Source organism: Homo sapiens, chromosome 5 (genome assembly GCF_000001405.40).
Source record: "Homo sapiens chromosome 5, GRCh38.p14 Primary Assembly".
Taxonomy (NCBI): domain Eukaryota; kingdom Metazoa; phylum Chordata; class Mammalia; order Primates; family Hominidae; genus Homo; species Homo sapiens.
In genome coordinates this window covers 149406845-149432953 of record NC_000005.10, presented here as the reverse complement: position 1 = coordinate 149432953, position 26109 = coordinate 149406845, and the positions used below count along the sequence as shown (strand labels likewise).

The window sequence follows — 26109 nt, the reverse complement described above, 5'->3', positions numbered from 1 at the left end:
CCTCCCAAAGTGGCTGTGTGGAGCCACTTGGGGGTGTTCAGCTGGGCCTGTCAGGTTCTTTCCCTGCCTTCGCCACCTCCCCCCTTCCCCAAATTCCCAGAAAGAAACAGGACAGGAGCCAAGGGCTGGAACTTTATTATTGTCACAGAGCACAGGAGAGACCGCTTGGGTCTCAATGAAGGTTTGCTTTTCCTCTTCTCCAGGGGAAGCTACTGCAAGAAGGCCCACCAGCCAGGCTAGGTCAAATGGGGTTGGGGCCACAACATGATAGTTAAACCCATAAACACAGACTTGATTCGATCCCAGCTTCACGACTTCTTAGCTGTGTGACCTTAGGTAAGTCTGTTAACCTCTCTCAGCCTTGGCTTTGTGGAGTGGAGTGAAGAGCAGGGCCTGCTTCACTGGGGTGTTATCAGGATGGAGGGGGACAAGGCCTATGAAAGTGTTTAGCACAGCGCCTGGCAGATCGTGACCAGTCACGGAGTGGAAGCTATCATGATCAAATCTGATTTCTCCACGGTCAGGCCAGCCCTGTCACTACGGATGAGGAAGAGGGGGTCTCATTTCATAAATGCCTTCAATGCGGCCTGTGAGAAAGACAGCTTGGGACACCTGTGTGAGCTGCCTAGTCTCTGGCAATGTGGGAGTCGGACCCAAACATGAGGGTTCTGGGGCCTTGGCACTTACTACCATTTCTACATCTCCATGAAAAGCCCTAGCAAGAGTACGGGGAAAGTTCTAATTTTTTTTTTTTTGAGACAGAGTTTCGCTTTTGTCCCCCACGCTGGAGTGCAGTGGCGCGATCTCAGCTCACTGCAACCTCTGCCTCCCGGGTCCAAGCAATTCTCCTGCCTCAGCCTCCTGAGTAGCTGAGATTATAGGTGGCCACCACCATGCCCAGCTAATTTTTTGTATTTTTAGTAGAGACGGGGTTTTGCCATGTTGGGCAGGCCGGTCTTGAACTCCTGACCTCGTGATCCACCCGCCTGGGCCTCCCAAAGTGTTGGGATTACAGGTGTGAGCCACCGCGCCCGGCCGGAAAGTTCTGATTTTGCACCTGGATTACATTAGGTCTTCTGTCATTCAGTTAGTTAGCATTCTCTATAGGCAGTCAGAGAGGCTGACTTTTAAAATTATTTAGGTATTTTTTAGAGACAGGGTCTCCCTATCTTGCTCAGGCTGGAGTGCATTGGCTATTCACAGGCACAATCATAGCTCTCTGCAGCCAGGAACTCCCAAGCTCAAGTGGTCCTCCCCCGTCGGCCTCCTCAGTAGCTGGGACTGTAGGCACTCACCACTGTGCCTGACTTTTTATTTTTGTAGATTTTGCTTTTGGCTAAGAAATTGCCATAGGCCATTGGACTTGAAATCAGCGCTGGCCCTGCCTTTTGCTGTCTGGGCGACCTTGGGCTGGCCACTTTACCTCTCTGAGCCTCACTGATCCCACAGATCTACGTAAGGAGGGCTTTGAGGATGAACCAGCCTGTGGAAGTAAATGAGAGGAAGTGATGGGGGCATTGCTGGTGGTGCAACAATGGAGAGGGTTTCAGTAGTCACTGGCTCAAAAGTGAGGGGGCAAAAGGAACCTCAGTGTGTGTGTGTGTGTGTGTGTGTGTGTGTGTGTGTCCAACGTCTTGTAGCAAGGTTAGCAATCACCATGTGTAGGGGAAGAGCCATAGTGTTCCTAGGGTGGGTAGAGATGCCACAAGAGGGCGTTCTGAGTTTTCATCTTCTCTACCTTGAAAAATTTTCCATTTGTTCTCTGGCTGCATTCCAAATCGAACGAAGACTTAAGGTTTTTAGTTTACCTAACTGATTGAATACACTTTTAAAATGAATTCATGTGTGTTTACTAGTTTATCAGTCATGTGGATGCAATACCGCAGCCCCTGTCGCAAGGCGCGTTGGGAAGTGGGTTGAGGGTGTGGTGGAGACAAGAAACGCATGCCTGATGGTGTCCTGGTTCAACCGCTGCTCAGCCGGGTGGCCTTGGACAAATTTCCCAAGAGTACGGCAGTGCTGAAGTTCCCACATCCAGCCTCACAGGGATGTTATGAAATAGACACGATGGAAAGAAAAGCAACGCAAAGGTTTGGAACATGGTTCATAAGCCCTCTTACCTCCAGGGACAGCCTTCTTCTTGAACCCTCATCCTGTGAGCCAGCCGAGGCCCCATTGGGGGGCAACTGTGGGGTGGGAAGGAGGCAAATCCAGCTGTGAAACCATGACCTCAAGAACAGTATTTCCAGGAATCCCCATCTTAGCATCTAAGGGATTCCTGGGAAAACTGGACCGTGAGGACAAGGTGGGAGCGAGTGGCCTTCAGCGCCAAGGCCGCCGTGTCCCTAAGGACCAGCTGGAGTTCTCTTCTGCATCCAGCCCCATCTGTAGCAGCCAGGGTGGGGTGCCACACGTCGCCGGATGTGGCTTATTGCTCTGGGGGGGAGTAGTGACCGGAACTTCAATTGCCCTGAAAAGTACCGGAAACCCTCTGGCGCCCCCACCCCCAGGACTGCCCTCTGCTGTCTGCACGGCTCATGTGTATTCCCCAGTCTCCTGCCAGAGGGGTGGATTTAAACCAACCATTCAGTTCCTAGCCTGGGTTTGGCAACTTCCTCTCTGATAACCTCCAGTAAGTCACTTAACCCCTGAGCCTTGGCCTTCTTTAATTATAAAATGCATGAGTCCACGACCTACTGGAGAGGTGAGATGAATAAGATTGGGGGAAGGGGGTAGGAGGAAGGAAGCCTGTAGTATTAATGGCAAGTGTCCGGGTCTGTCTTTGCTAAAAGTGACCTGAGATGTAAAGACAAGATGGGAGCAGAATTTAGAATGTTCTCCTCCTGCTCCTCGGTCCCAGGTTCCATAATCACATGCAATGGGTAAAAACATGGATTTGAAGGCAGATTAGGGTACAATCTCAGCTCAGCACAATCAATATGTGACTTTAGGTGAGCTGCTTAAATAAGCCTCAGTTTTTCTCATCTGTAAAATGGGGCTATAACACCACCCACTTCCCAAGCTTTTGGGGAGGTTAAATGAGACTGTGCTTGGCTCCATGGCTCTCCTCTGCTGCTCATTGTGCTTCTGAAGCCTCTGGGAGAAGTCAGACATTTGTGACGTGCCTGGACTGGTTTCGGCAATACCCCGGAGCCAAGGTTAGAAGTACAGAGTGAAGACCCTGACTCAAAGGCCAGAATTTTTATCTTCAGGGCTGAAAGGGTTTTTAGGAATTGTTTGATCCACAAATGATGAATGAGTTTCAGCTGTGAATCAGTACTAGTGGCTTTCCAGGGCTCATTGTTGAGGATTCTGAAGCTGCATCTGAGCACTTCAAGAATGGATGCCTGGCGGGGCGTGGAGGCTCATGCCTGTAATCCCAGCACTTTGGGAGGCCGAGGCGGGCAGATCACCTGAAGTCAGGAGTTTGAGACCAGCCTGGCCAACATAGTGAAACCCCATCTCTACTAAAAATACAAAAATTAGCCAGGTGTGGTGGCGCACACCTGTAATCTCAGCTACTTGGGAGGCTGAGGCACGAGAATTGCTTGACCCTGGGAGGAGGAGGTTGCAGTGAGCTGAGATTATGCCACTGCACTCCAGCCTGGGTGATGGAGTGAGACTGTGTCTCAAAAAAAAAAGAATATATGCCTTTACTGATTAGCTGTGTCTGCCATGGGCTCAGAAAGAGAAAGCAGAGGCAGGGTGCTGGGGAAATGCTAACGCCTCATGCTAAGATGGACACACTGGGGTACACAGAGGAGTCAGGACATGCCCAGACTCGTGAAGCAGATCGTGGCACCAGGGGAACTTGTGTAGAGGAACTTCCCCAGCATCACAAGTGGCTGATAGTATGGAGTCTGGAAACACTCTGTCCTTCCTGTTATGGCCCCCCACAACCCCCCAGCACTTACCACTTCCAGGCTGATGGCTGCAGAACAACTTCTCTCTTCCTGAGCTACAGTGCTTCATCTCAGACTCCCAACTGACCAGAGATGCAGCACTGCACCTCAGGCTGGGAGACAGGGCGCTGCGCTGCTCCGCTCTGGTGGCCTGTGGCGGGACTCCAACCTGGCCAGGAGAAGGGGTGTTAGAGGGGACCTGGGCTCCACCTCTCCAGCTCTGGCCGGGAGGCTGTTGTAATTCCTCACAACTGTGTTTCCTGTCTGTGGCCTGCCATTTGAGCACCCAGGACCAAACCTTGACCTTTTTTCTCTTCTTTTCTTTGTTTCTTTCCTTTTCTTGTCAAGAACAGCTTAATTTAGAAGGAGGACATTTAGTGAGTACAATTAACAGGTTTTTAATATATTCACAAAGTTGTGCAAACAATGGCACAATATATTTTAGGTTATTTCACCATCCAAAAAAGAAGCTCCTTATCCTTAGACAACCCCTAGTCCTGGGCAGACCAGTTTCTATCTCTATAGATCTGTCTATATATTTTCTGGATATTTCAATACATGGAATTATTTAATATGTTGACCTACCTTTTGATGCCATGCCCCACCTTTATGCTTGGCGCATTCCAGCCTAACAGCATCATTCATGGTACTTAACATTTTATATCATCGAGCAATCAATTGTCTCCAACCTATCTTTCTTCTGCCACTCCTCCTCTCTTCCCAGCCATCTTCCCATAATGATTTTTCAAGATGCAAATATGCTCATATCTTACTCAAGTTTAATATCCCAAAAGGGCTCCCCATTGCCCTCAGGCTGAATTCTGAAGCCCTTCCCAAAGCCTGCGAGGGTCTGCCGCATCTAGCCCCAGTGACCTCTTCCTCTTGGGCTACAGCTCATAGATGTCCTTCCATTCTCCTAGGGAGCCCTGTGCCCACCCACTTCGGGCTCCCAGGGACTGTGCTGCTCCCCGTCACTCTCCCTGCCCATCTCTTCCTCCTGTGCTAGGTCTCTAATCAAGTGGCCACTCTGGGAAACCCTCCTTGACTTTTTTTTTTTTTTGAGACAGAGTCTCCCTCTGTCGCCCAGGCTGGAGTGCAGTGACACGATCTCGGCTCACTGCAAACTCCACCTTCCGGGTTAAAGCAATTCTCATGCCCCAGCCTCCCAAGTAGCTGGGACTACAGGCGTGCACCACCATGCCTGGCTAATTTTTGTATTTTTAGTAGAGACAGGGTTTCACCACGTTGCCCAGGCTGGTCTAGAACTCCTGACCTCAGGTGATCCACCCGCCTTGGTCTCCCAAAGTGCTGGGATTATAGGCATGAACCACAGTGCCCAGCCCCTCCTTTACTTCTTTAGCCATCAGCACCCCCTGCTTCATGTTCTCGCCCACCCGGTGCCCTCTTTCTAACCCTTTACCATGCTGGTAATGTGGTTTTCACTTACGACCACCTCCACTTGTGGACTACATGGCTCACCTGTGAAGGGAAGGGACCCTGTCAACTGTGCTCACTACTGAAATCAGGGCCAGGTGGTGTAGATGCCACATAAGCCCAGGTTGAATGGCTGAATCATAATTCCCAATCTCATTATCTCTAGTATCAGTGTTATTTGTGTGTGGGTCTGACCTGGCTAGATCTCCACTTCCTGAGGACAGTGCCTGTGTCTTGTTAATTTGGGGGGCCCTGGGTCTGACCTGTGGCTTGGTACATGATGATGGACCTAGGTAATGCCATTTGGTGGCTGATTGGATGACCATGTAGATAATTCATTTTGTTTTCTGGGCCCGGCTTGGGTGGGAACTTTCAGGTGAGCAGGCAAAGCCCCTTCTCACTCTTCCTGCCCTGCCAAGATCTCAGGGCACCCCAGAGGACCTTCTTGCATTGCTTAGTGGTCACTGTGGTGGCCTTGATGTTGGATGACATATATTTTCAGGAATGTCTGAAGGGGATGGGTAGCCTTTCTTCAGGGCTGAGAGAGAACAGAAAAAATATACCTCCTTAAAAAAACAAAAACAGAGCTGGGAGCAGTGCTCATGCCTGTAATCCTAGCACTTTGGGAGGCTCAGGCAGGAGGATCGCTTGAGCCTAGAGTTCAAGATCAGCCTGGGCAACATGGGGAGCCCTTGTCTCTAATAAAAAAAAAAAAAAAGGCTGGGAGCAGTGGCTTACACCTGTAATCCCAACCCTTTGGGAGGCCAAGGTAGGCGGATCACCTGAGGTTGGGAGTTCGAGACCAGCCCGGCCAACATGGTGAAACCCTGTCTCTACTAAAAATACAAAAATTAGCCAGGCGTGGTGGCGGGAGCCTGTAATCCCAGCTACCTGGGAGGCTGAGGCAGGAGAATGGTTTGAACCCGGGGAGGTGGAGGTTGCAGTGAGCCGAGATCTTGCCATTGCACTCCAGCCTGGGTGACAGAGTGAGACTCCGTCTCAAAAAAAAAAAAAAAAGTCTGTCTCTTACACTCAGTCTGGGAAGAGTGGAAAGAGTGTTTCCCTCTGGTCTATCATGCCAGCAGGCAGGTCAGTAGGTCAGTTCTGACAGCCTGTGTAGAGGACAGCCTCTGTCTAAGGTATTCCCAGCCAGATAACTGCTTTCCTCTTCTGTGGAATTATCTTGCAGAAACTCTTTTCAACTGCATTTGGTGGCTGGGCACAGTGGCTCACGCCTGTAATCCTGAGCACTTTGGGAAGCCGAGGCAGGTGGATCGCTTGAGCCCAGGAGTTCAAGACCAGCCTGGGCAACACGATGAAATCCTGTCTCTATCCAAAAATACGAAAAATTAGCCAGTCTCATAGCCTGGTCTCTACATAAATAAATAAATAGATTTTTTAAAACCGTGCATTTGGCTGGGGAGTGATTCCGACATTGGACTCCCTCGCAGGTCACAGACAGCTGGTCTATTCCACTCTCCACGGCTCCCACTGCCCCTGAGAGAGAAGAGCTTAGTGTGGTCAGCAAAGAGATTTCAATAAGAATCAGGGAGGGTTATCCTGGAAAAGAGATGATTTGCTGCTGAGAACTAAGCTGACAAGGTGTGTCCTCTGCCTTCACTTGGTGCGTGATTATTTCCAAAGCCCTTTCACATAAACTACCTTTGGCTTCTCACGTGCAGCTGGTGGGTAAGTGGTTTTGGGGAGTTTGTAGTCTCTGCTGGGAGACAGGACACAACAGAATGGAAAGCGAATTGACAGGGAGCATTCTGTTGTGGAATGGATCAGTTGCTCCCTGTGAATTTGCTTTCAGTCCTATTTACCGTGGGGTACAAAGCCTCAGTTTGCTGCTATCATGTCTTTGACACCTTTCTAACTCTCACTTATTGCCCAGGCTTCAGGCCCAGGGCCTTGCAAGCCACACTATCAGGTTAAACCATAATAACATTGTTTCATTTTTACTGTATTTATGGTTACCTTTATTTCCTAATTAGGCACAGTGTTAGAGTTTGCTATTTACAGTAGCTATTTCTATGTGTAATAAAAAGGACTCATCCTACATTTAAAAATATTATAATCATTTGCAGACATGGAAGAAATAAAATAGGGGGCATCTGAATGACTGAGTTTGGAAAACAGAGTCCGATACCATTTAATCATCAGAATGGCTGGTGCTGCTGGCAAGGGAATGTTATTGCTCCTACATGGAGGACCAGGAAGGGGATTGTTCCAGGGTCACAGGGCCTGAGCTTGGACCAGAGGAGTTGAAGACCATTTCCACCAAGGCCATTTCCATTCCAAGATGTAGGCTAAGATTATTGCAGCAAAGATAGCATCTCCCCTAGGTTTAGAAACGAGAACTAGATGGGAGGTAGTCCCATGCTTCTGAAGGAGAAACTGATGCAGGGAGAAGGGCTGAGGCACAGCCTCTGACCAGGGGAAGGTGTTTGCCTCCATCTCCTCTGTGGCCCTTGAATCTGCTTGCCCCTTGCTGTTGGTGCCTCGTTCTGTTCCTTTGTGTCTGGAATAATCATCGTGATAATGAATGTAATAAGCACAATCATTTGTGGAATTTTATAGTCCTGGATATTGAATGTTTTCTTTGTGCAAGTCCTTGTGCATCCACAAAGCTCCATGGGAAGGGAATTTTCCAAGGGTACAGAGCTGAGAACTGAGCTGGGGTTCCTAACCCAGGGCCCTCGTTTTAACCTCTACGCTGAATGTCTCATGCCCTGTCCAATTGGCCAGGCCTTGGTTTGGGGGCAGGGTCTAATCATTTCACCTGTCCCTTCAGCGCACTGCCTCTTCTATGTGCCAAGGGGAAGTGGGACTGAGAGCCTCGCTGTCCTTGACCTGGAGGACCTCGGTCAGATTGAGTAGAAGGAAAATTCCCCTCACAAGGTGAATAGGGGGCAGACTCAAGTGGGATGAGGAGAGAGAGAGAGAGAGAGCCCAAGAAAGGACAGCCAAGCACACCTGGAGGACAAAAAGGTTCCCACCCCTGGGGAAGCTGAGAAGGCTTCCTGGAGGAGGAGTCAGTGCAGCTGGGCTATGAGGAGGGGCAGAGGGGCCGGGAGGGAGGTGCTTCTCCTGGCTCCAGCAGCTCTTCCCTTGAGTCTTGCATACTTAGCACTTGTCCCAACCCCTGCCTCCTTCACATGAGGGCCTTACTGAGAAGAGGGGTCTATGGCCACCCCCCACCCCGCCCCATTCCACTTACCCCACCAAAGGCTCCCTCCTACTCTGGATCCCCAGTCAGGATGAGAGACACCGCTTGGGGGTCCCAGGTTCCACTTCTTAACGAGGCCCTTCTTTCTGTGGCTGCTTCCCCTTCTGTGAAAGGTGATGTTGAACCAGGTGGCCTCAGTTTTACCTGGCGGCTCTGGGTGCCGGCTCCCGGCAGTGTGGGGGACAGCTCCTGGGTGGATGGGCTGTTTCTGCCTCTGTGTTCCCCATGTCTTCAGGAAATGTCTCTGGCTGTGGGGGACCTCTGTCTTCTGTTGGGAGGCTTGGAGAGGCGTGGGTGAGCTGGGGAGGAGAAAATAAACAGTGGCTGTCTGGGTTTTCTCGCCAGGCCTGAGCCAGGAGGCCTCCCTGAGCTCCTTCCCTTATATGGCCAGGCTGCTCTGGGCTGGGAGCTTGCTGCAGTGCACCCCCACCCTCCACCACCACTCAGAGGGCCAGGGGCCACTGCTGGTCACCCAGGACTCTGCTGCTGCAGAAGCCAGAGCAGGGCTAAAGGTGGAGGGCAGGCCCCAGGACGTGTGCCAGGAATCGCCTGGACAACCTGGGCAACTGGGGAGGATTTATGTTGAGATAAGGGATGGGGGAGAGGAACACCCAGAGAAAGAGGGGACCTACCCCATCCTGACTTAACCCCCAACTCATGGTGTGATCCTAACCAAGCCCTTTCCCTCTCTGGGCTTCTGTTTCTCCCCCTGTCAAATGAGGGTGTGGAAAATAAGAATTAATTCTCACACTCATTCTGTGAGGTGGCAGCTTGTGTAACCTCATTTTGCAGAAGGGAAAACTGGCTTGGAGAGGCTAAGTAATTTGACCACAGCTTTCCAGCTGAAAGGGAGCAAGGCAGGATTTGAACTCGGGGCCTTCCGATGTCAAGGTCTGTGTTCTGAATTGGCTGGTTGTCAAGGCTCCCGTTGCGGGTCACAGTCACTTTCATGTGCCTTATGGAAAAGGGATTCTGTGAAGTTGCAATCCTGGAAGACCAGGGAGGCCCCAGTGCCCAGTGACCCAGCCCGAAGGAGGCTGTTTCATGAAGGAAGGGGAACAGGGCCTGTAAGTATTCACCCTGGTGTCCCCGGCACATCACACAGGGCGTGGCACAGGCTCAGGGATCAGAAAGGAGTGATGTGGAATCACCAAGAAAGGAAGTTTCAGCAGTCACACCCGTCCTCTCACCCCCAGACACATTCTGAGGATGAAAGAAAACAAGGCATGAGAAAGCACCAAGATGCCACCTTTAAGACAGCATTGTCTGTTCAGAAGCTCTTTCTTCCCTCTGAAGCATGCCCCGAGTCTCATCCCCAGGCCAGTGTCTTCTGAGCTGACTCCCCGCTCAGCCCAGCTGCAGGACTGAAAGATGAGGTCAATCTGCTCAAGGACGGGGCTCTGCTCACAGCCCGCAGCAGTGGCCATGGGAGAGGCTGCCGGAGGGGAGGGTGAGGGGGGAAGTGGGGGCGGGTCTGGGAACAGCTCGGAAATGTGCCTCGCAAAAGCACTAACATCCTGTGCGCTGTTGAGCTAGCCCTGGAACCTCCCTCACCCCATCCATCACTGTGGCATCCTCTCAGACCCCAACCCCCTTCCTGAGGCCCACGGGTGGGGTGAGGGAGCCAAGGACCGACTGTCAGTGTGTCCGAGAGACCACAGCTGGCAGTTCTGCAGGTCTGTTTAGTGTCGGAGCCGGACAGTCGGGGGGAGGAGGCGCCTGTAGCCCTCCTAATCCAATTTGTTTAAACCCAGTCTCTGTGGCTTATTTGCCAGTGAGGGAGGACTGGGTGTGCGCTGTGCCGGGGTGCACGTTTGCACACATTTGTGGGGCCTGCAGGGGTGAACAGGTGGACCATGTTATGTAAGACAGGCCTGGGCCTTGTCCCACATCCCTGGATGTCAGCTCCTTTCCTGGAACCCGGCCTCCTCCTCCCTTCTCCTCTGCTCACCTCCAAATCTTCCTGCACTTTTTCCATCCACATGAGAACTGGTGCCAGAATTCTCCTTTGCAACTGACTCTACATGCAACTCTGAGTGAATGCTTTCACCTCTCCAGGCCTCAGTTTCTCCACTCATCTTATGGAGCTGGCACCTCACCCTACCTGTTCCACCATGTGCATGAACTTAAAAAATTGGCAAGTGTGGGAATAATGTGATGAATGGTAAAAACTGCTCTGTTTTCTTGAGTTTCACTATGTGCCAAGGGCTGTGCCTGGGGACACCAGCCCAACCTCACAAATCCTCTCAAAGCCCTATGAGCTGGCTCTTTATCACTAGGCTCAGAGAGGTTGAGTGACTCGTCCAAGATCACACAGCCCCAGGTCTTCCTGCTTTGGGAGCTCAACCCTGTTTACTCCTTTCTAGGGAAGATTACTATTATTTTCCACATTTCTTTCAAGTCTGTTATTCACCGAATCAAGTTGAGTAACAGAGGCTTTATGTCCAAATCACACGGGCTTTGCATTGCTATTTCGTAAGGAGGATGGGGTAGACCGGATTCTTGGCTCCTAGTTGGATTTCCCTTCTTGGGTTCCATTTCTTTTTACCTACAACCCAGACGCTGACAGCCCTGAACTGCCCGCACTGCCACCAATCAGTGGGGGGTCTTCCTTTACCAAGGCCCATTCTGCTTCTTGTCATCCTCAGGCCCAGTTTCTTGGTCATTCTGAGGTTAGGGTGGGGAGTTTATCCTGAGGGACCCAGGATACTCCAGGAGCCACCTGCAGGTGGGCTGGGGTGGGGAGCGGATGTGGGTGCCGGAAGGGTGGAGGTGGGGTGGGCTCACAGTTCTGTCTCCGGGCTGCCTGCTGCTGGCCCTCCTCTGGTCCCAGGAGGCTGCTTCTCCAGAGTTCTTGCTTCTCTGACATCAGCATGGCGGGGTGGCTCCCACCAGCTAGCGCCCTTGCCTGTAAGAAACAAAGATCCCACCTGTCAGAAGGACACCAGGGTGCCCTACGGGTACGGTCATGGCCTTTGAGGGTCCTGACCAGGCTGCCAGGCTCTGAGGGATGGAGAATGGGCCTGGGCCACTTCTGGATACTCTTGGGCTAAACCTACTGAGATCTTCCGGGCCTCAGAGATCCTGCCCCTTGGGCCCTGAGCAGCCATTATCCCTTCTTGGCCTGCCTGGCTTTTAAGGGAGAGCTTGTGAGAAACTCCAAGCTCCAAGAGCAGGAGGAGCCACCTTCCCTTCTCAGCACACCCAGGCCCCTTAACAAAAGAACTGTCCTGAAAGGAAATTTCCCAGAGGCTCCTCTGACCAATGCCCCCACCTCAGCCTCACACATAAGAAAGGAGCATGTAGGATTAAATCGAAACCTGGGGTTAACATGATGACCAAGACCAAAGGGACAGGCTTGTGGCTGTCTTTGACCCCTTCCGTGTACACAAAGCTTTCAGCCTTCAAAACACTCCCGTAACTCAAGGCACATTCGCTGATGTCGCCAGAGGCAGGAATAATTCTTCCCCTTTCTGAAGTTCCAGGAGCCTGTGCGATTTGCCCAGGGTCACCTGTGGAACAGCTTGAGAGGCAGACTTGAACCCAGGCTCCTGATGCTCAATCCAGCTTTCTCTTGGGTGTGGGCAGTGGCCGGCTGGATGACCACACGTCAAAGCTATCATCGCCACGGTCGTTGCGAAAGCCCCTGTGCCCTTTCCTGGACTTTCTCATTTCCAAGAAACACGAGGGGCTGGGAATGGGCCACATCTGCGAGCCAGATGGCACCTCAGTGAGAGAGGGCTGAGGCCAGGGCTCCAGGCAAGCTCACGAACCCATGCTCACACCCAGCTCTTTCTGGAGGGACCTCTTTGCCCACGGTTCCCCTGTCTCAGCGCACTCAAACCTGTGCACTTGTTACAGCCGTTGCTCTCCTTGGGCTCCAGGGCCGTAGGGTTTCCACCACATGTCTGGAAAGAAAAGACACAGGCCTTGGAGTCATGCAGACCTGTGTTTGAATCTCGCCTCTAGCACTTCCTGGCTGTGTGATCTAAAGCCGGTGTCTTCACCTCTCTGAGCCTGTTTCCGACCTCACAGCCTTGTTTGTGAAGGTCAAATGAGGCAGATGTCAAGTGCGAGCATATTTCCAGGCACATCATAAACCTATGATAAATGGCTGCCATTTCTATTATTAGCATGGGGCTGGGGCCATAGCAAAGCCCAACCATGGGAGGAACAGCAGAAGCAGGGAGAGAGCAAAGGTCTGAAGAGGCATCTGGGGAAGCTGTGGGAGCCCTTGCGTGGCCCTTTCCATGTCCCCTTTGTCGCACAGCTTCCCTGGGCCTCTGTTCCCAGAGTGCCCTCCCACCCCCTTGACACCCCAGCTGAGTTCACCAACCTCACACGCTCCCCACTTCCTCCCCAGGGAGGGTCGCTCTGGGGAGTTTTGAGCAAGCTCTGGGAACGCAGTTTGAGGCTGAAACAAGAGCATTGCAGGGAAAAGGGAAGAGAGGAAAAAAAAAAGACCTGCCCAGCCTAGAATCCCAAGCCTTGCCTCGAGCAGCTCAGGCCCTGCGGGCAGGTGGGGCATAGACACCAGGATCCCTGTGAGTCTCTGTCACTTGGCCCCTCGGTGAGGGCAGAAACTGGGAAAAGAGTGACAAAGGTAAGAACCATCACCTGTCCGGCTGACTGTGCAATAGGCACATTGGGACACGCTGTAATCATAATGAGAGCTCACATGTCATTGGGTGCTTCTGATGCACCCCACACTTGCCAAGTGCTTTATTTTACACAGCTTTTCTCATCTGATCCTCAAAGTCACTTATGAGTTAAGTACCAATAATTTTCTTTTCTTTTTTTTTTTTTTAAAGAGACAGGGTCTCACTCTCCAGGACCTTGCTTTCCAGGGCAACACCTATTGCCCAGGCTGGAGTGCAGTGGCACAGCCAGCTCACTGTAACCTTGAACTCCTGGCTCAAGCGATCCTCCTGCCTCAGCCTCCTGAGCAGCTGGGACCACAGTCACATGCCACCATGCCCAGCTAATTTTTTATTTGTTAATTTTTTGTAGAGATGGGGTCTTGCTATGTTGCCCAGGCTGGTCGTGAACTCCTGGCTTCAAGTGATCCTCCTGCCTTGTCCTCCTGAAGCACTGGGATTAGAGGCATGAGCCACTGTGCCTGGCTGAATTAGGTACCATTCTTTTAATTTTTCTTTTCTTTACTCAGAGATCCTTGTTTTGAAGAATTAGGTACCATTCTTATCTCCACTTTACTGAGGCGCCAGTGGTCACAGCACTCCCTCCTGGTTACACAGCTAGTAAAGATTGGCTCCAGGCAGCCCCACACACATTCTCACGGCTCCCTTGTAAGACCAACTGCTCATCGTATCATTTTTACAGAGTGATAACCGGAGTCATTATCTCTTGGCAATATTTAGGTGTGTGTTAGTCTTTCTGGAGAGGGGTTTGTGAACAGAGAAAGCATTGTTAGTATAAGTGAAGACCATCTGAACCCTGGAAAGCCATCTGTCTCCAGAAGCAAGGGGGCTTCTCCTTTTGGTGGTGGTGTTCTGCCTCTTTCCTGTGGTATTTTTCTCTTCTGTGCTGCTTGTTAAAAGAAATTCACATCATGTTAAAGGCATTGGTTCTCGGCGGGGTGCAGTGGCTGACAACTGTAATCCCAGCACTTTGGGAGGCCAAGGCTGGTGGATCACCTGAGGTCAGAAGTTTGAGACCAGCCTGGGCAACACGGCGAAACCCTATCTCTACTAAAAATACAAAAATTAGCTGGGCGCAGCGGTGCGTACCTGTAATCCCAGCTACTTGGGAGGCTGAGGCAGGAGAATTGCTTGAATCCCTGGGTTACGGAAGTTGCAGTGAGCCGAGATCACACCACTGCACTACAGACTGGGTGACAGAATGAGACTCTGTCTCAAAAAAAAAAAAAAAAAGGCATTGGTTCTCCCTCTGTCCTATAAGCTTTGCAAAGAGCATGGACCTCCAGGGTTCCAGGGGCTTCGCTGGGACTAGGCAATGCTTTCTAGAAAATACAAATGTTGGTTTCTTCTGGAATGTGTTGGGTGGGAGGAGCAGCAGGCTAGGTACCCGGTTTTCTGTAGATTTGCTGTGTGATTGTGGACAAGGGTATTCCCCTCTCTGAGCCTCAAGGGCCCACACCTACATGATGTGGTGGGGACACGACTGGACTCTAGAGTGTCCAGAGTCCTTCTAGATCAGACACGGAGGGACAATCTGACCCCACCCCATTCCTCGGTGTGAATGTGGGTGTGAATGCCGGTGAATGGCCGGCATAGATCTCCATGGAGCGAGAGAGAAACTGGTGCATCAAGGAATGAGGATGGCACTCCCTCATTGCCTCCCACTCCCTTGCCCCCATCCTACCCTTCATTTCTCAGCCCCAAAGTAGGCCCCAGTGACCTGGACCAGATGGATTTTCTGCACCAGGACTTGAAGTCTTGGAACATCAGTGCTGGAAGCACTCTAGTCTTGCACCCATTGTTCAGATGAGGAAACTGAGGCATGGAGAGGAGAAGCAAGGAACTCAAAGTGATTTAGCCAGTCACAGGTCCAGCTGGGACTCCAGCAAATGTCCTGACCTCTTCTGCTCACTGGGGGATCCTGATCGGCCAAATACTAAACAAAGGGGCCTCGGGAGGAAGGTGGAGAGAAGAGAGCCTTTAAGTTCCTTTTGCTTTGAAGATGGAATAATCATGACTTCCTTCTCCAAATATCTTTTGGCCCTTCCTAGAACCAGATGGCGGATGTTTGGAATTTATGTTGTAAATAGTGCTTAAGAAGGGGTGGGAGTGCAGATGTGTTACTTTCTTCCACCACCAGAAACGAGATCTGAGGGAGAGAAGTGGGGGAGGGAAGCTGACTATGAAAAGATTTTGGGAGAAGGAAGAAGTGAGGGGGAAGGAAGACAGAACAGCGATGTGAGATGGGAGGAGAGGGAGCGAAAATGGAAGAGAGATGGATGGAGTGAGACTGACAGCAAGACAGAGAGGAAGAGAAAGGGAAAGGAGAGAGCGATGGGAGAAGGAGGAGGAAGAAAGATGGGGAGGGGGCTCTCAGGGTGCAGGCGCAGAGACGCCCCTCTTGAGTTCAGGAGCAAACCCTTGAGTTTTCTAAAAATAGCTCAGTCTTTCCCCTAGCAGGGTTGGCAGCAGGGACCAAGAGAGGCACGCTTGCCCTTTTATGGTAAGAAAAAGTCCAGATCCTCAGAGGGGGAGCTAGGCTGGAGCCTGTAATTCTGGATGAAGTCCAGCCTCAGGGTCTGGGGTGGGACAGGGCTGAATGAGGGGGGAAGACTTAGTGGGATTTCCTGGCCTGAGTGGCCCTACCCTTGGGGAAGATAGGGCTGAGGTAGGTGTTGGCATGGGCCTCCCAGGAAAGCACTGGGGTCCTGGTAGATCCTTAGTGTTATGGCAGAAAGTCTAGAGACATTTGGTCCACGCTGTGTCTCTGTTTTATTTTGTTTTGTTTTGTTTTGTTTTCGAGACGGAGTCTCACTTTGTCCCCCAGGCTGGAGTGCAGTGGCGCGATCTCAGCTCACTGCGACCTCCGCCTCCCAGGTTCTAGCAATTCTCTTGCCTCAGCCTCCTGAGTAGTTGGCATTACAGGCGCCTGCCACCACGCCTGGCTAATTTTAGTACAGACAGGGTTTCGCCATGTTGGCCGGGCTGGTCTTGAACTCCTGACCTCAGGTGATCCGCCCTCCTTGGCCTCCCAAAGTGCTGGGATTACAAGCATGAGCCACCGCACCTGGCTGTCTCTGTTTTATAGAAGAAGAAACTGAGTCCCAGCCAGGGGAAGAGATTATAGCTCCCTGTGTGGGGGTGTAAGCCACCAAGCTAAATCGATGCCGGGGTCCACACGAGGACAGCTTATGTGCCTGTTATTCTGGAGAGCAGTGTGGTCAGTGGCAAGAACACTGTTGGGAGCCAGGAAACCCAAGGCCCATTCCCAGTTTGCTGTGTGACCTTGAGCCATCTGTGGACCCTCTCTGGTCTCAGCTTTCCTTACTGGGGTGATCTTAAGGGTTTTCTTAGCTTTTTGTCTCTCTGGGAATTTCATAGCTAGAAAGCAAAGCCTGGGCATAGAAGATGCTGCTATGAGGTGAAGGGGAATCCAAGAGCTGCTATTTTCTTTCTGTGCCTGGCTCACTTCCTGTGCTGAGCTGGGCAGGTAAAATCTAGAATGGACTGAGACTGATGGAGAGGAGTCCTTGCAGGAGACAGGAGATCATGGCTGGAATCCCCTACTGCCCAGCTGGTTGGGTCTAGACTCTTTTTTTTTTGGAAAGAGTCTTGCTCTGTCACCCAGGCTGGAGTGCAGTGGCGCGATCTTGGCTCACTGCAACCTCCACCTCCTGGGTTCAAGTGATTCTCCTGCCTTAGCCTCCTGAGTAGCTGGGATTACAGGCATGCACCACCACACCTGGCTAATTTTTTGTATTTTTAGTGGAGGGGGTTTCACCAAGTTGGTCAGGCTCGTCTCAAACTCCTGACCTCATGATCCGCCTGCCTTGGCCTCCCAAAGTGCTGGGATTATAGGAGTGAGCCACCAGGCCTGGCCGGGTCTAGCCTCTCGCTGGACACACTGAGGCCAGAGGAAGCTGCATGTTCAAGGTCGCGTTGAAGGTCATATGAAGAGTTAGGGCACAGCCAGGAATAGAACCAAGGGTTTCCATTCCCAGCCTTGGGCTCTTTCTTCTGCAGGAGGCCAACAGCATTGGAGACCATCTCTGGCCATTCAAAGGGACCTCCTGGGCAGAGCAGCCAGAACTCAAGATAGGCTGCCATCCTCTAACTATCTCTTGGAGATAGTTGCATCCTGCCTGGGCACCGCCTCTCCTCTGTCCCCTGCCCTTGGCTGTGAAGAGTGTACCATAGTCTCCATCTTTGGCTAGAAGGCAGAGAAGAAGCAAAGGATGTGGTCACTCTGGCAGCATATTTTGGCAAGTCTCTCCCTGTCATTGGGCCTCAGTTTCTGCATCTATAACATGAGGAGATAGGCCCTGATGCTCTTTAAGGTCCCTCAGCTCTAAAAGGACTATGATGCAATGAGTATGGGATTTAACACCAGGAATATTTATTAATCATCTACCAGGGGCGCCAGAGGGAATGAGATGGATATTGTATGACTGAGCTCTGCAGTCAGTGTGAGGTGGGGGCACATTGCCTGAGATTCCTGGAAGCCCCATTTCCAAGATCCTTCTGTCTTTATTCTAGAAAGCCCTGGGCTGACTCTCTGACCCCAGCTTGAACCCAGGTTCTGGCAGCTCTGGTCTTGAGCATCTAGGGAAGGCTGCTGGCCCAGGCGATGTAGTTGCCCACTGCTCCAGGACCCTCACAGGCGGTTTGGCCATGCCCTTGACTTCTTGGTCCTCTCCATCCTCTCCCACACTGCTGTCCACTGCCCCAAGCCCTGTCTGGTGGGCCTCCCAATCTACCCCATACCCTCCGTCTCTCCATGCTCTTTCTGTGACTCAGCCCAAGAGGATGCTTGCTTTCCTTTCCCAGACTTCTATGACACCCCCACCGACCATGAGGGAAAGGATGGAACAGAAGAGAAAAGGGGAAAAAAATAAAGCACTGTGGTTCTAAATCTGAAGCTTTCCTGTGACCCTCCTGGAATTTCCACGCAGACTCTCTGGAGCGTGTGAACAGGGCTCCCAGGGTCCCTGGCCCCCTTTGTCTCATTCCTGCCGGGCAGAAGGCCATCAGCTGAATGTTCCCCGGGGAACTCCATCTCACAACCAGGCTCCAAGTCTCTTTGGTCAGGCCTGGTGTCCCCTGGGAAGGCAGGAGGCAGCAGTGGAAAGGAAGTGGGAGGTAGGAGGTAGGAGGTCCAAGAGGCCCTTGTGCAAAGTCAGGGCAGAACTGATGTCATGTCTGGCTGGGAATCTGACATCCAGGCTGCAGGAAGGCTCAGCTCATGATTGTCCTAAAGCAGTTAGAGCTGGCATGTGAGATCCGAGGCTGGTGGTAGGAAAGGCCATGATGCCCAACCTTTTCTGATGTTTGGCTTCTCTCTATGGTGTCTGTACTAAGCTTACATACCTCTGGTGATGAGGAGCTCACTACAGATGTTCCTTAAGTTACTTCCTGATAAACTCATCGTCAATGGAAAATATTGTAAGTTGAATGTGCTTTTTCTGTTTATTTTTTGAGACAGAGTTTTGCCCTGTTGCCCAGGCTGGGGTGCAGTGGTGCAATCTCAGTTCACTGCAACCTCCACCTCCCAGGTTCAAGCAATTTTCATGTCTCAGCCTCCCGAGTAGCTGGGATCACAGGCGTGCGCCAGTACGCCCGGCTAATTTTTGTAATTTTTTTTTTTTTTTTAGTAGAGATGGGTATTTGCCACGTTGGCCAGGCTGGTCTTGAACTCCTGAACTCCTCAACTCCTGATCTGCTCGCCTCGGCCTCCCAAACTGCTGGGATGACAGGTGTGAGCCACCGCGCCTGGCCCGAACGTGTATTTTTGACTTGCGATATTTTCAATATAGAGTTGGTTTATCCGAAGTAACCTTATAACCCCATCACAACTGCGTCATAAGTTGAGGAGGGTACCAAATGCATATAGCTTTCATAGCATTTTAAAATAGAAAATTGTAACTCAGGATATGTCTGTACTTCCTAATCCCCTCACCCTCTTTGGACAGACTATTGGAGGTGTCTTCCTAGTATTCTGCTGCCATCTGCCTTTCTGGGCTTCATGGCCTGTCCTCTGTTCCTGCTCCCCAGGAAGCTCTGGAGTGGTCTGAAGATGGTGACTGCAGCCCTCGGGCTTCCTACCCCTCCTAGTCCCACCTGAGCTCTCCTTTCCCCATTGCCTGACATCTCAGAGTTGCCCATTATCCAAATTCCTAGGTCTCTGCCCTGCACTGGGGTTCTTGGCTGATGGTATTTTGGGGAGGGGGACAAATAGGCTAAAGAAAGGCACCCCCTCCCAGGGACAGACAGATACCAAGGAGAACTTTTCCCAAGCTCTGAGGCTTTGGTTTCTGTTGCCAAAGCCACCGCACACTCTAGGCCTTCTCTGCTTCGCCAACCTCCAGCCTCACTGAGCTTCAGACCAACTCTCGGTTCCAGCCAACTGGGCTTCTCTGCTGTTGTCTGAAAATGCCTCTGCAATCCTGCCTCCATACCTTTGTACACAGAGCTCTCCACCTGGAATGCCGTCTTCTTCTCTGTCTATCCAGGGCGCGCCCCCAGCTCCTTAGATTTTCCCTCTCTGAGAATCCAGGTGTCTACTATCACACATGGAATGACCTCAACTGTCCCCTCTGTCCCAAACCAGGGAACATTATGGCCTGAGGCCCCAGAGGAGTGGGACAGTTACCCAGTTGTGCTGGCTGCAGAGCCAGGGCCTGGTCCTAGCCAGCCTCTTTCTCCTTCACCCTGCCTTGCTCAGCTCATCGGGGTTGTTGGGTCACATGCCTGGTGGCTGGCAGGCTCTGGGCAGGCTGACCGGGGGCCTCTGAGCCCAGTAGCCCAGCCAGGGGTGGTGTCATAGCCTCTGTGGATCCCTCCCCAGGCCAGCAGGCAGCCTCCCTCTAGACACTCCACCCCCATCCCTGCCTCCTTGGAGGGACAGGAGGAGTAGAGTATGTGGCAGCAGAGCAGTTTGGAGCTTTCTTTTTTTTTTTCTTTTTGAGACAGAGTCTTGCTCTGTCGCCCAGGCTGGAGTGTAGTGGCGTGATCTTGGTTTACTGCAACCTTCGCCTCCTGGGTTCAAGCAATTCTCCTGCCTCAGCCTCCAGAGTAGCTGGGACTACAGGCACGTGTCACCATGCCTGACTAATTTTTTGTAATTTTAGTAGAGATGGGGTTTCACCTTGCTGGCCAGGCTGGTCTCGAACTCCTGACCTAATGATCTGCCAGCCTTGGTCTCCCAAAGTGCTGGGATTGCAGGTGTGAGCCACCGCACCCGGCCTGGAGCTTTCTTTTCTCCCTTGATGCACAGCTAAGGTCAGAGGAGGAGCTTTTAAGGAGGGGGCTTAGGCTTGTGGCTGGCCGGGGGTTCTTGCAGAAGAGCCATGGTGGGGTGGCTTTCTCCAGTCTGGGCCTAGCCAACTGCCCCTTCCTCAAACCTCAGGCGGGCTGTGCAGGGCATGGGGCAGCCCAAGACTGACGAGGCCCCCAAGGTTACTCAGCCCACCCTATGGGGTGCTTCTGGGTGAGAAGGACTGTTTCGGCAGGGTCTGCATTTTTGAGCCTGAGCAGGGGTGGGGGGCCAAAGGGTCTGTCTCTTCTCTTACTGCAATCATGCCTAATCTGGAAGGGGGCTTCGGACTTCCAATGGCCTCCTCCCCCAAATGCCAAAGGCCCTACTAGGCAGGTCAGAACCAGAGCTGGTTCTGGTTCACAGATCCATTGCGGGTGGTCCTAGAGTGCAGCAGTTAAACACATGATTTTAGAATCAGTCAGAACTGAGTTTGAGTCCCAGCCTGGCCTCGTACAGGCTGTGTGACTTTGGGCAAATGACTAAACCTCTCTGAGCCTCTGTGTGCCCAGAGGGATAATGGTATTTATCTCAGAGTGCTGGGTAAATCTCCAGGTACTTGAAAGGACTTGATATATGGCAAGTGTTATTTTTGAAGGTATAAGGGCAGTTTATCCTCCAAAGAGTTGGTACTCAGAAGAGCATCTCTTTGTACTGTGAAGAAGCTGTCTTTAGTAATCACATTTTAGTGGTTATTATTATTATAAAAATTTAATCTAAAAATGTATAGTAGAGACAGAGTCTGCCTATGTTGACCTTTAGGCTGGTCTTGAAATACTGGGCTCAAGGGATTCTTCCGCCTTGGCCTCCCAGAATGCTCAGATTACAGGTGTGAGCCACTGTGGCTGGTCTTAGCAGTTATTTTTTATTGAGTACTTACTATGTGTCAGTCACAGTTCCAAGGGCTTCATGAGTTTTAACTCATTTAATGAGTTAATCCGGACAACTCAGTAGACCAATGAGACAGGTACTCTTATCATCTCTATATTACAGATGAGGTCACTGAGGCATACAGCACCTATGTAAGTTACCCAAAGTCCTACTGCTGCTATGAGGCAGCTCCAGGATTCAAACCCAGCAGCCTGGCTCACATCTGGCACCTTTAACTGCCAGCCTACTACATCTGAGCCCCACTCCAGCCCTGCTCCAGACCCGCCTGGTCCCCTCATCACCTGGGCACAGGGACCCACTCCACATCTGAAAGCCCCCAGGCTTCGGAGTCAGCCTCAGTTTCCTCATCTGAACAAAAGGGGGCCTGAATGAGTCAACCTCTGTGGGCCACGAGAGTGGGTAATTCACACTGTGCGTTAAGGCATGTTTCGAATTGGAGTAAAGGTTTCTAGTGGTGAAGTGTTGCTGCCAACAGCCTCTTTTGCAAGTGGGCAGGGGGCTGGCCAGAGCTCTCGCAATGTGCGGTGAAGCCCCATGGGGCCTGTCTAGACAAGCTGTTAGCAGGCGGCAGCCACCTTGGGCTCTTTTCCCCAGATTCTTGCAACTCACCCTCCCAGGCGACCTTTGATTGGACCCGGGCCACTGCATACTGCTGGGCTGGGGGAGGGCCACATAGGCAGTGCCCATCCCACCCCAGGGCCTTCGTAAATGTCCTGATGAGGGTGCTCTGCAACTTGTGCATGGAGGGCAAAGTTCTAGACGCCCTCGTGCACAGGAGCGTAGCAGCCTACAGAAGGCACACCTACGTTTTTATTTCCATGGCTTCCTTACATTTTTTATTATATAAACTTGATACATGCAAAATGAAGTGTGCAACCCATATGCTTCAAGGAAACTGATGGCTTCAAGTGTGGTCAAGAAGATGGGGATGCTCATACACAGCTGATGGAAGCATAACCTGGTTCAGCCACTTCAGAAAGCAATCTAGTGCTCTCCTGTAAAGTTGACAGGCCTGCACTCCAGGACCCAGAACCCCTTCTAGCTATAAGCTCCAGAGAAACTCTGGCTTATGGGTCCTAGGAGATGTGGACAAAAATGGTCATCACAATTCGAACCAGCCTTCATCATGGTTCTTCGAACCACCCCATGGCGCTGAGCCCCCCCGGAGAGTTTAGTTGGAAAATTGCAGGAAGAGGCCATGCCCAGGCACGGCCCAGCAGTGAGGACCTCAGAGATTACCTCCCCGAACCCCTCAGGCTCAGCTGGGAATCAGAACAGCCACTTGAGTCAGTGATGGTGTGTGGTGTGGAGCCTGGATCTTTCTATTCCTCAAGGATAGGTGTTGGCTGAGTGCAGTGGCCCATGCCTGTAATCCTAGCACTTTGGGAGGCTGAGGCTGGGGGATCACTTGAGCCCAGGAGTTTGAGGCCAGCCTGGATAACATGGCGAAACCCTGTCTCTACAAAAAAACACAAAAAATTAGCCAGATGTGGCACACATCTGTAATCCCAGCTACTTGGGAGGCTGAGGTGGAAGGATCACTTGAGCCTGGGAAGCAGAGGTTGCAGTCAATTGAGAAGAGTCACTGCACTCCAGCCTGGTTGACAGAGGGAGACCTCATTTCAAAAAAAAAAAAAAAAATGGATAGGTGTCAGGTGTCAGGTGTCATTTTCCCCCAGAACTGGCCAGGCTGGGAAGGGGCTGATTTTGCCCAAAGGGCTGTGGTGTGGCTGTGAGGGACCAATGACAAACTTTCTGTTGCGGGGCAGCAACAGGGTTGAAGGGAGAGCAGTGGCCTCAGAGCTAGAAGGCTTGGGCTCAGGCTCCGGCAGGGCCTCACTCCTGGCCTCCGTCTCCTCTGTGAGGTGGGATTCTTCATCACTGCCCTCAGAGGTGTCGGGGTGGGCAGCCCAAGAGTGTGCGTTCTGCAGATGCATAGACTAGGTTCAAATCCCCTTCACCACTTTTTAATTGCGTGACATTGGGTAATCTGCAGTGGTTTCCTTCTCTAGAAAGTGAGGGTGATGGAATGATGCTGATTCCTGCCTCACAGGAATCCTGGGAGGATTAAATGATAATGCAAGCTGTTCAGCACAGTGTCTGACTCCCAGAAGTCTCCCATACATATTCTGCCCCCTTCCATGAGGTCTGTTGGAGGGTCTCCAGGAAGTTTTGAGGTAGCTAAGAGGCAGGGCAGGAGGTGGGAGACTCCTGGGGGAGTTAGCAGCCCCAGGGGCAGCTGGCACACACAACTTAACAACTCATGAGCTGTGTGACCTCAGGCAAGCCACCTAAACTCTCTTTGCCTCAGGTACCTCATCTGTGGAGTGGGGATAATAATTGCCCCTTCCTCACTGGCTCTTGTGAGGATTAAATGAATTAGTTCATGTGAAGATCTGAGGTAGTGCCTGGACCTCATAAGAACTCCACAAATAGTGTCATCTATTTCTCCTGATTTGCACCACCTTATGGAATCCCTGGCTGGGCAGAGAGGCAGGTTCTGTTCCACCTCTGCCATCAGCTCGCTAAATAACCTAAAGCAGTGCTTTCTCTCTGTGGATTCCGTTGCCTCGGCAGTTTGTGAGAGTCCTAGGCCGCCCTACAGCCTGGCATTTCGCAAACTTCCACATGCATGGGAATTCATGGGGTGCTTGTAATGCAGATTCCTAGGCCTCACTTGGGGTCCCCCGTCAGTGGGTGAGTGCACAGTGGTTCAGATACATTGCCCACACAATGCCCTAGAAAGGCAGGAAAGGAGATCCCCCCCAGTCCTTCAGGCATCTCAAGCTGATCACTTTCCTGTGTCCCACAGCCTCTGACTTTTGATTCCTCCTGCCTCTTTCCAGAGCCTGTTCCAGAGCTCTTCAGCAACTCTGGGCATTCCCTGGCCGGGTTTCATTCCCACTTCTCCCTCAACATAGCTCAGGGTATCTTGCCCGCAGGAGGTGTGGGCTCTGACTGCGATGTAACATCAGCCCCATTCATCCTGCTCTATGTGCCTACATCCCTCACTCCTCATGACAACCATGCAAGCTCAGAATTGTACCCATTTTACAGAGGAGGAAGCTGAGGCTCAAACAGCAAGCAACTTGCCCAGGGTCACTTGTCCAGTAAGTAAACAAGCCAGAATTGGACCCAGGCAGTTGAATTCAGAGCCTCCTTCTGAACCATGATGGCCTTGGGTCTTGTGTGACAAGAAGCGGGAAGGTGGAGGGTACAAGACAGAGGCCGGTGCTAGAGGACTGTTCTGTTCTGGGCTCCGGATGTGGCCAGAGTGTTTTCAGAGGAGCCCGACTCCATGCTGTCTGTACATCTTCAAGTTCCAATCCTAAGCCCCTGCCTCTACCCAGCCCTGCCTCCCATCACAAGCCTCCTGCATTCCTCTAAGTCCCCTGGCCCCACTGCTTCATCCCGCGAAGCCCTCTGCCATCTTTTCCATCCCTTACCTACTTCCATGTCCCACATTCCTGTGTGGTTGAATCCAGAGATCAGTCCTTTCCCCACCAGAGGCTGGTTGCAGCCAAGTTCATCTGGAGGGCTCGGGGCACCCCTCTGGCCAAGCCTTCAGTCACAGAACCTTCAGCTACTCTCCCTCACTCAGGCTCAACCTCCAAAAGCTCCCACAGGACTTCATCTGCTTGGACTCCAAGCTTGTGGTCAAAGTTCAGACTCGGCTCAGGGACCTCCTGGGGGAACTTCCCAACACTGGCTGTCCCTCAGGCACAAACAACTCAGAAGCCACATCTGCAGAGGGACCATTTTGTCCAATGGCCTTGCTATACAGATGGGAAAACTATGGCCCAGAGAAGGGAGGGGGCCAGCCCAAGACCACAGAGCCGGGCACTGAGAGCAGAGCTGGGGCCGGAGCTTAAGTGCCCCCGTCTCCTCTCACCAGCATCCCTTCCCATTGCTCCATGTGCAGTCAGCACCCAGCCTTCCCAGGATCTCTGCCTGCCTGCCAGAGCCTGAGCTTACATTGCCTCTTCCCCAGCTTTGTTTCTCGAAACCATTATTTGAAAACCATTTTCCTTGCCAGGAGCCCCAGGCTCTTGGAATTACAAAATCAAAGCCCCACACAATGAGGAAGAAGCACTGCCTATGTAGAAGCCAGGGAGACTGCCTGAGACTCGGGTGCCGAGGTGAAGCTTGGGCTGATAGGATGTTAACTCTGTGCACTCCCTCTGCACCTTCTTCCCCCAATTGACTACAACAACAAGGAATCCTAGAAGCCAACAGGACCATAGAACTAGAGCCGATCAGCTGGATGGATGCTTAGAGATCATTGACTCCAGCCCCTGTACAGATGGGGAAACTGAGACCCAGAGAATCTGTGTCCAGAAAGGGACAGAGCCAGTTAGCAAGACAGCAAGACCCCCAGATGCAGCATCCCCCTAGGGAAATTCCCAGAGGCCCCCACCCACGGATCCCAGGTCTGCCGTTGGTGCTTACCTTTCCTGGGGTCTGGTCCAGGTGTGGCTCCTTGGGGCCTGGAGACGGGAGCCAGCCTGTTTGGGGAGTGGTTGGGGGTGTCACTGCTTCTCAACTAATTAGACCCAGCCTCTGGTGCCCCTCGCTGCCACAGGGGCATTTTTAAGCAGCTGGCACTGAGCCCCCCTCCCCTTAGTCCCTTGCCTGCGGCTCCCTGGCCACAGAGGCCACTCTGCCTTTTACCTTATATGAGCT

General features: G+C 51.9%; 1 long non-coding RNA gene and 2 other non-coding genes across 4 annotated transcripts, besides 9 other annotated features; all 3 read right to left on the bottom strand.

Moving 5' to 3' along the window:
- Nucleotides 1-117: 117 nt before the first annotated feature.
- CARMN (cardiac mesoderm enhancer-associated non-coding RNA) lies at nt 118-26109 on the bottom strand. 2 transcript variants are annotated; one of them, NR_105059.1, is made up of 6 exons: nt 25876-26109; nt 12410-12473; nt 11353-11473; nt 8557-8864; nt 3915-4071; nt 118-236 (listed from the first exon to the last, which is right to left on the bottom strand). It is a non-coding gene; the product is annotated as a cardiac mesoderm enhancer-associated non-coding RNA (long non-coding RNA). The 2 variants fall into 2 exon arrangements; NR_105060.1 differs by lacking the exon at nt 12410-12473.
- Nucleotides 1674-1968: an enhancer, noted in NCBI's record as "tiled region #1487; HepG2 Activating non-DNase unmatched - State 1:Tss". NCBI's record gives its function as "activates a minimal TATA promoter and a strong SV40 promoter by Sharpr-MPRA in HepG2 cells {active_cell/tissue: HepG2}" and the evidence as "EXISTENCE:reporter gene assay evidence [ECO:0000049][PMID:27701403]".
- Nucleotides 2221-2308, bottom strand: MIR145 (microRNA 145). The gene has a single exon (NR_029686.1). It is a non-coding gene; the product is annotated as a microRNA 145 (primary transcript).
- Nucleotides 3931-4036, bottom strand: MIR143 (microRNA 143). The gene has a single exon (NR_029684.1). It is a non-coding gene; the product is annotated as a microRNA 143 (primary transcript).
- Nucleotides 7441-10824: an enhancer, noted in NCBI's record as "VISTA enhancer hs1752". NCBI's record gives its function as "enhancer in: heart[5/6] | other[4/6] | liver[4/6]" and the evidence as "EXISTENCE:transgenic organism evidence [ECO:0001131][PMID:17130149]".
- Nucleotides 9982-10773: an enhancer, noted in NCBI's record as "H3K27ac-H3K4me1 hESC enhancer chr5:148801744-148802535 (GRCh37/hg19 assembly coordinates)". NCBI's record gives its function as "activates a minimal SCP1, AML or CMV promoter by ChIP-STARR-seq in naive H9 embryonic stem cells {active_cell/tissue: H9 hESC(naive)}" and the evidence as "EXISTENCE:reporter gene assay evidence [ECO:0000049][PMID:30033119]".
- Nucleotides 15756-15925: an enhancer, noted in NCBI's record as "experimental_82107 CRE fragment used in MPRA reporter constructs". NCBI's record gives its function as "activates a minimal promoter by MPRAs in K562 erythroleukemia cells, with activity observed for both the introgressed and non-introgressed 5:148796677 or rs76903304 variant alleles {active_cell/tissue: K562}" and the evidence as "EXISTENCE:reporter gene assay evidence [ECO:0000049][PMID:34662402]".
- Nucleotide 15840: a transcriptional cis regulatory region, noted in NCBI's record as "Neanderthal adaptively introgressed variant 5:148796677 (GRCh37/hg19 assembly coordinates) or rs76903304 in the experimental_82107 CRE". NCBI's record gives its function as "modulates activity of the experimental_82107 enhancer by MPRAs in K562 erythroleukemia cells {active_cell/tissue: K562}" and the evidence as "EXISTENCE:reporter gene assay evidence [ECO:0000049][PMID:34662402]".
- Nucleotides 16302-16471: an enhancer, noted in NCBI's record as "experimental_82102 CRE fragment used in MPRA reporter constructs". NCBI's record gives its function as "activates a minimal promoter by MPRAs in K562 erythroleukemia cells, with activity observed for both the introgressed and non-introgressed 5:148796131 variant alleles {active_cell/tissue: K562}" and the evidence as "EXISTENCE:reporter gene assay evidence [ECO:0000049][PMID:34662402]".
- Nucleotides 21423-21962: an enhancer, noted in NCBI's record as "H3K4me1 hESC enhancer chr5:148790555-148791094 (GRCh37/hg19 assembly coordinates)". NCBI's record gives its function as "activates a minimal SCP1, AML or CMV promoter by ChIP-STARR-seq in naive H9 embryonic stem cells {active_cell/tissue: H9 hESC(naive)}" and the evidence as "EXISTENCE:reporter gene assay evidence [ECO:0000049][PMID:30033119]".
- Nucleotides 21963-22503: an enhancer, noted in NCBI's record as "H3K4me1 hESC enhancer chr5:148790014-148790554 (GRCh37/hg19 assembly coordinates)". NCBI's record gives its function as "activates a minimal SCP1, AML or CMV promoter by ChIP-STARR-seq in naive H9 embryonic stem cells {active_cell/tissue: H9 hESC(naive)}" and the evidence as "EXISTENCE:reporter gene assay evidence [ECO:0000049][PMID:30033119]".
- Nucleotides 24620-25620: an enhancer, noted in NCBI's record as "H3K27ac-H3K4me1 hESC enhancer chr5:148786897-148787897 (GRCh37/hg19 assembly coordinates)". NCBI's record gives its function as "activates a minimal SCP1, AML or CMV promoter by ChIP-STARR-seq in naive H9 embryonic stem cells {active_cell/tissue: H9 hESC(naive)}" and the evidence as "EXISTENCE:reporter gene assay evidence [ECO:0000049][PMID:30033119]".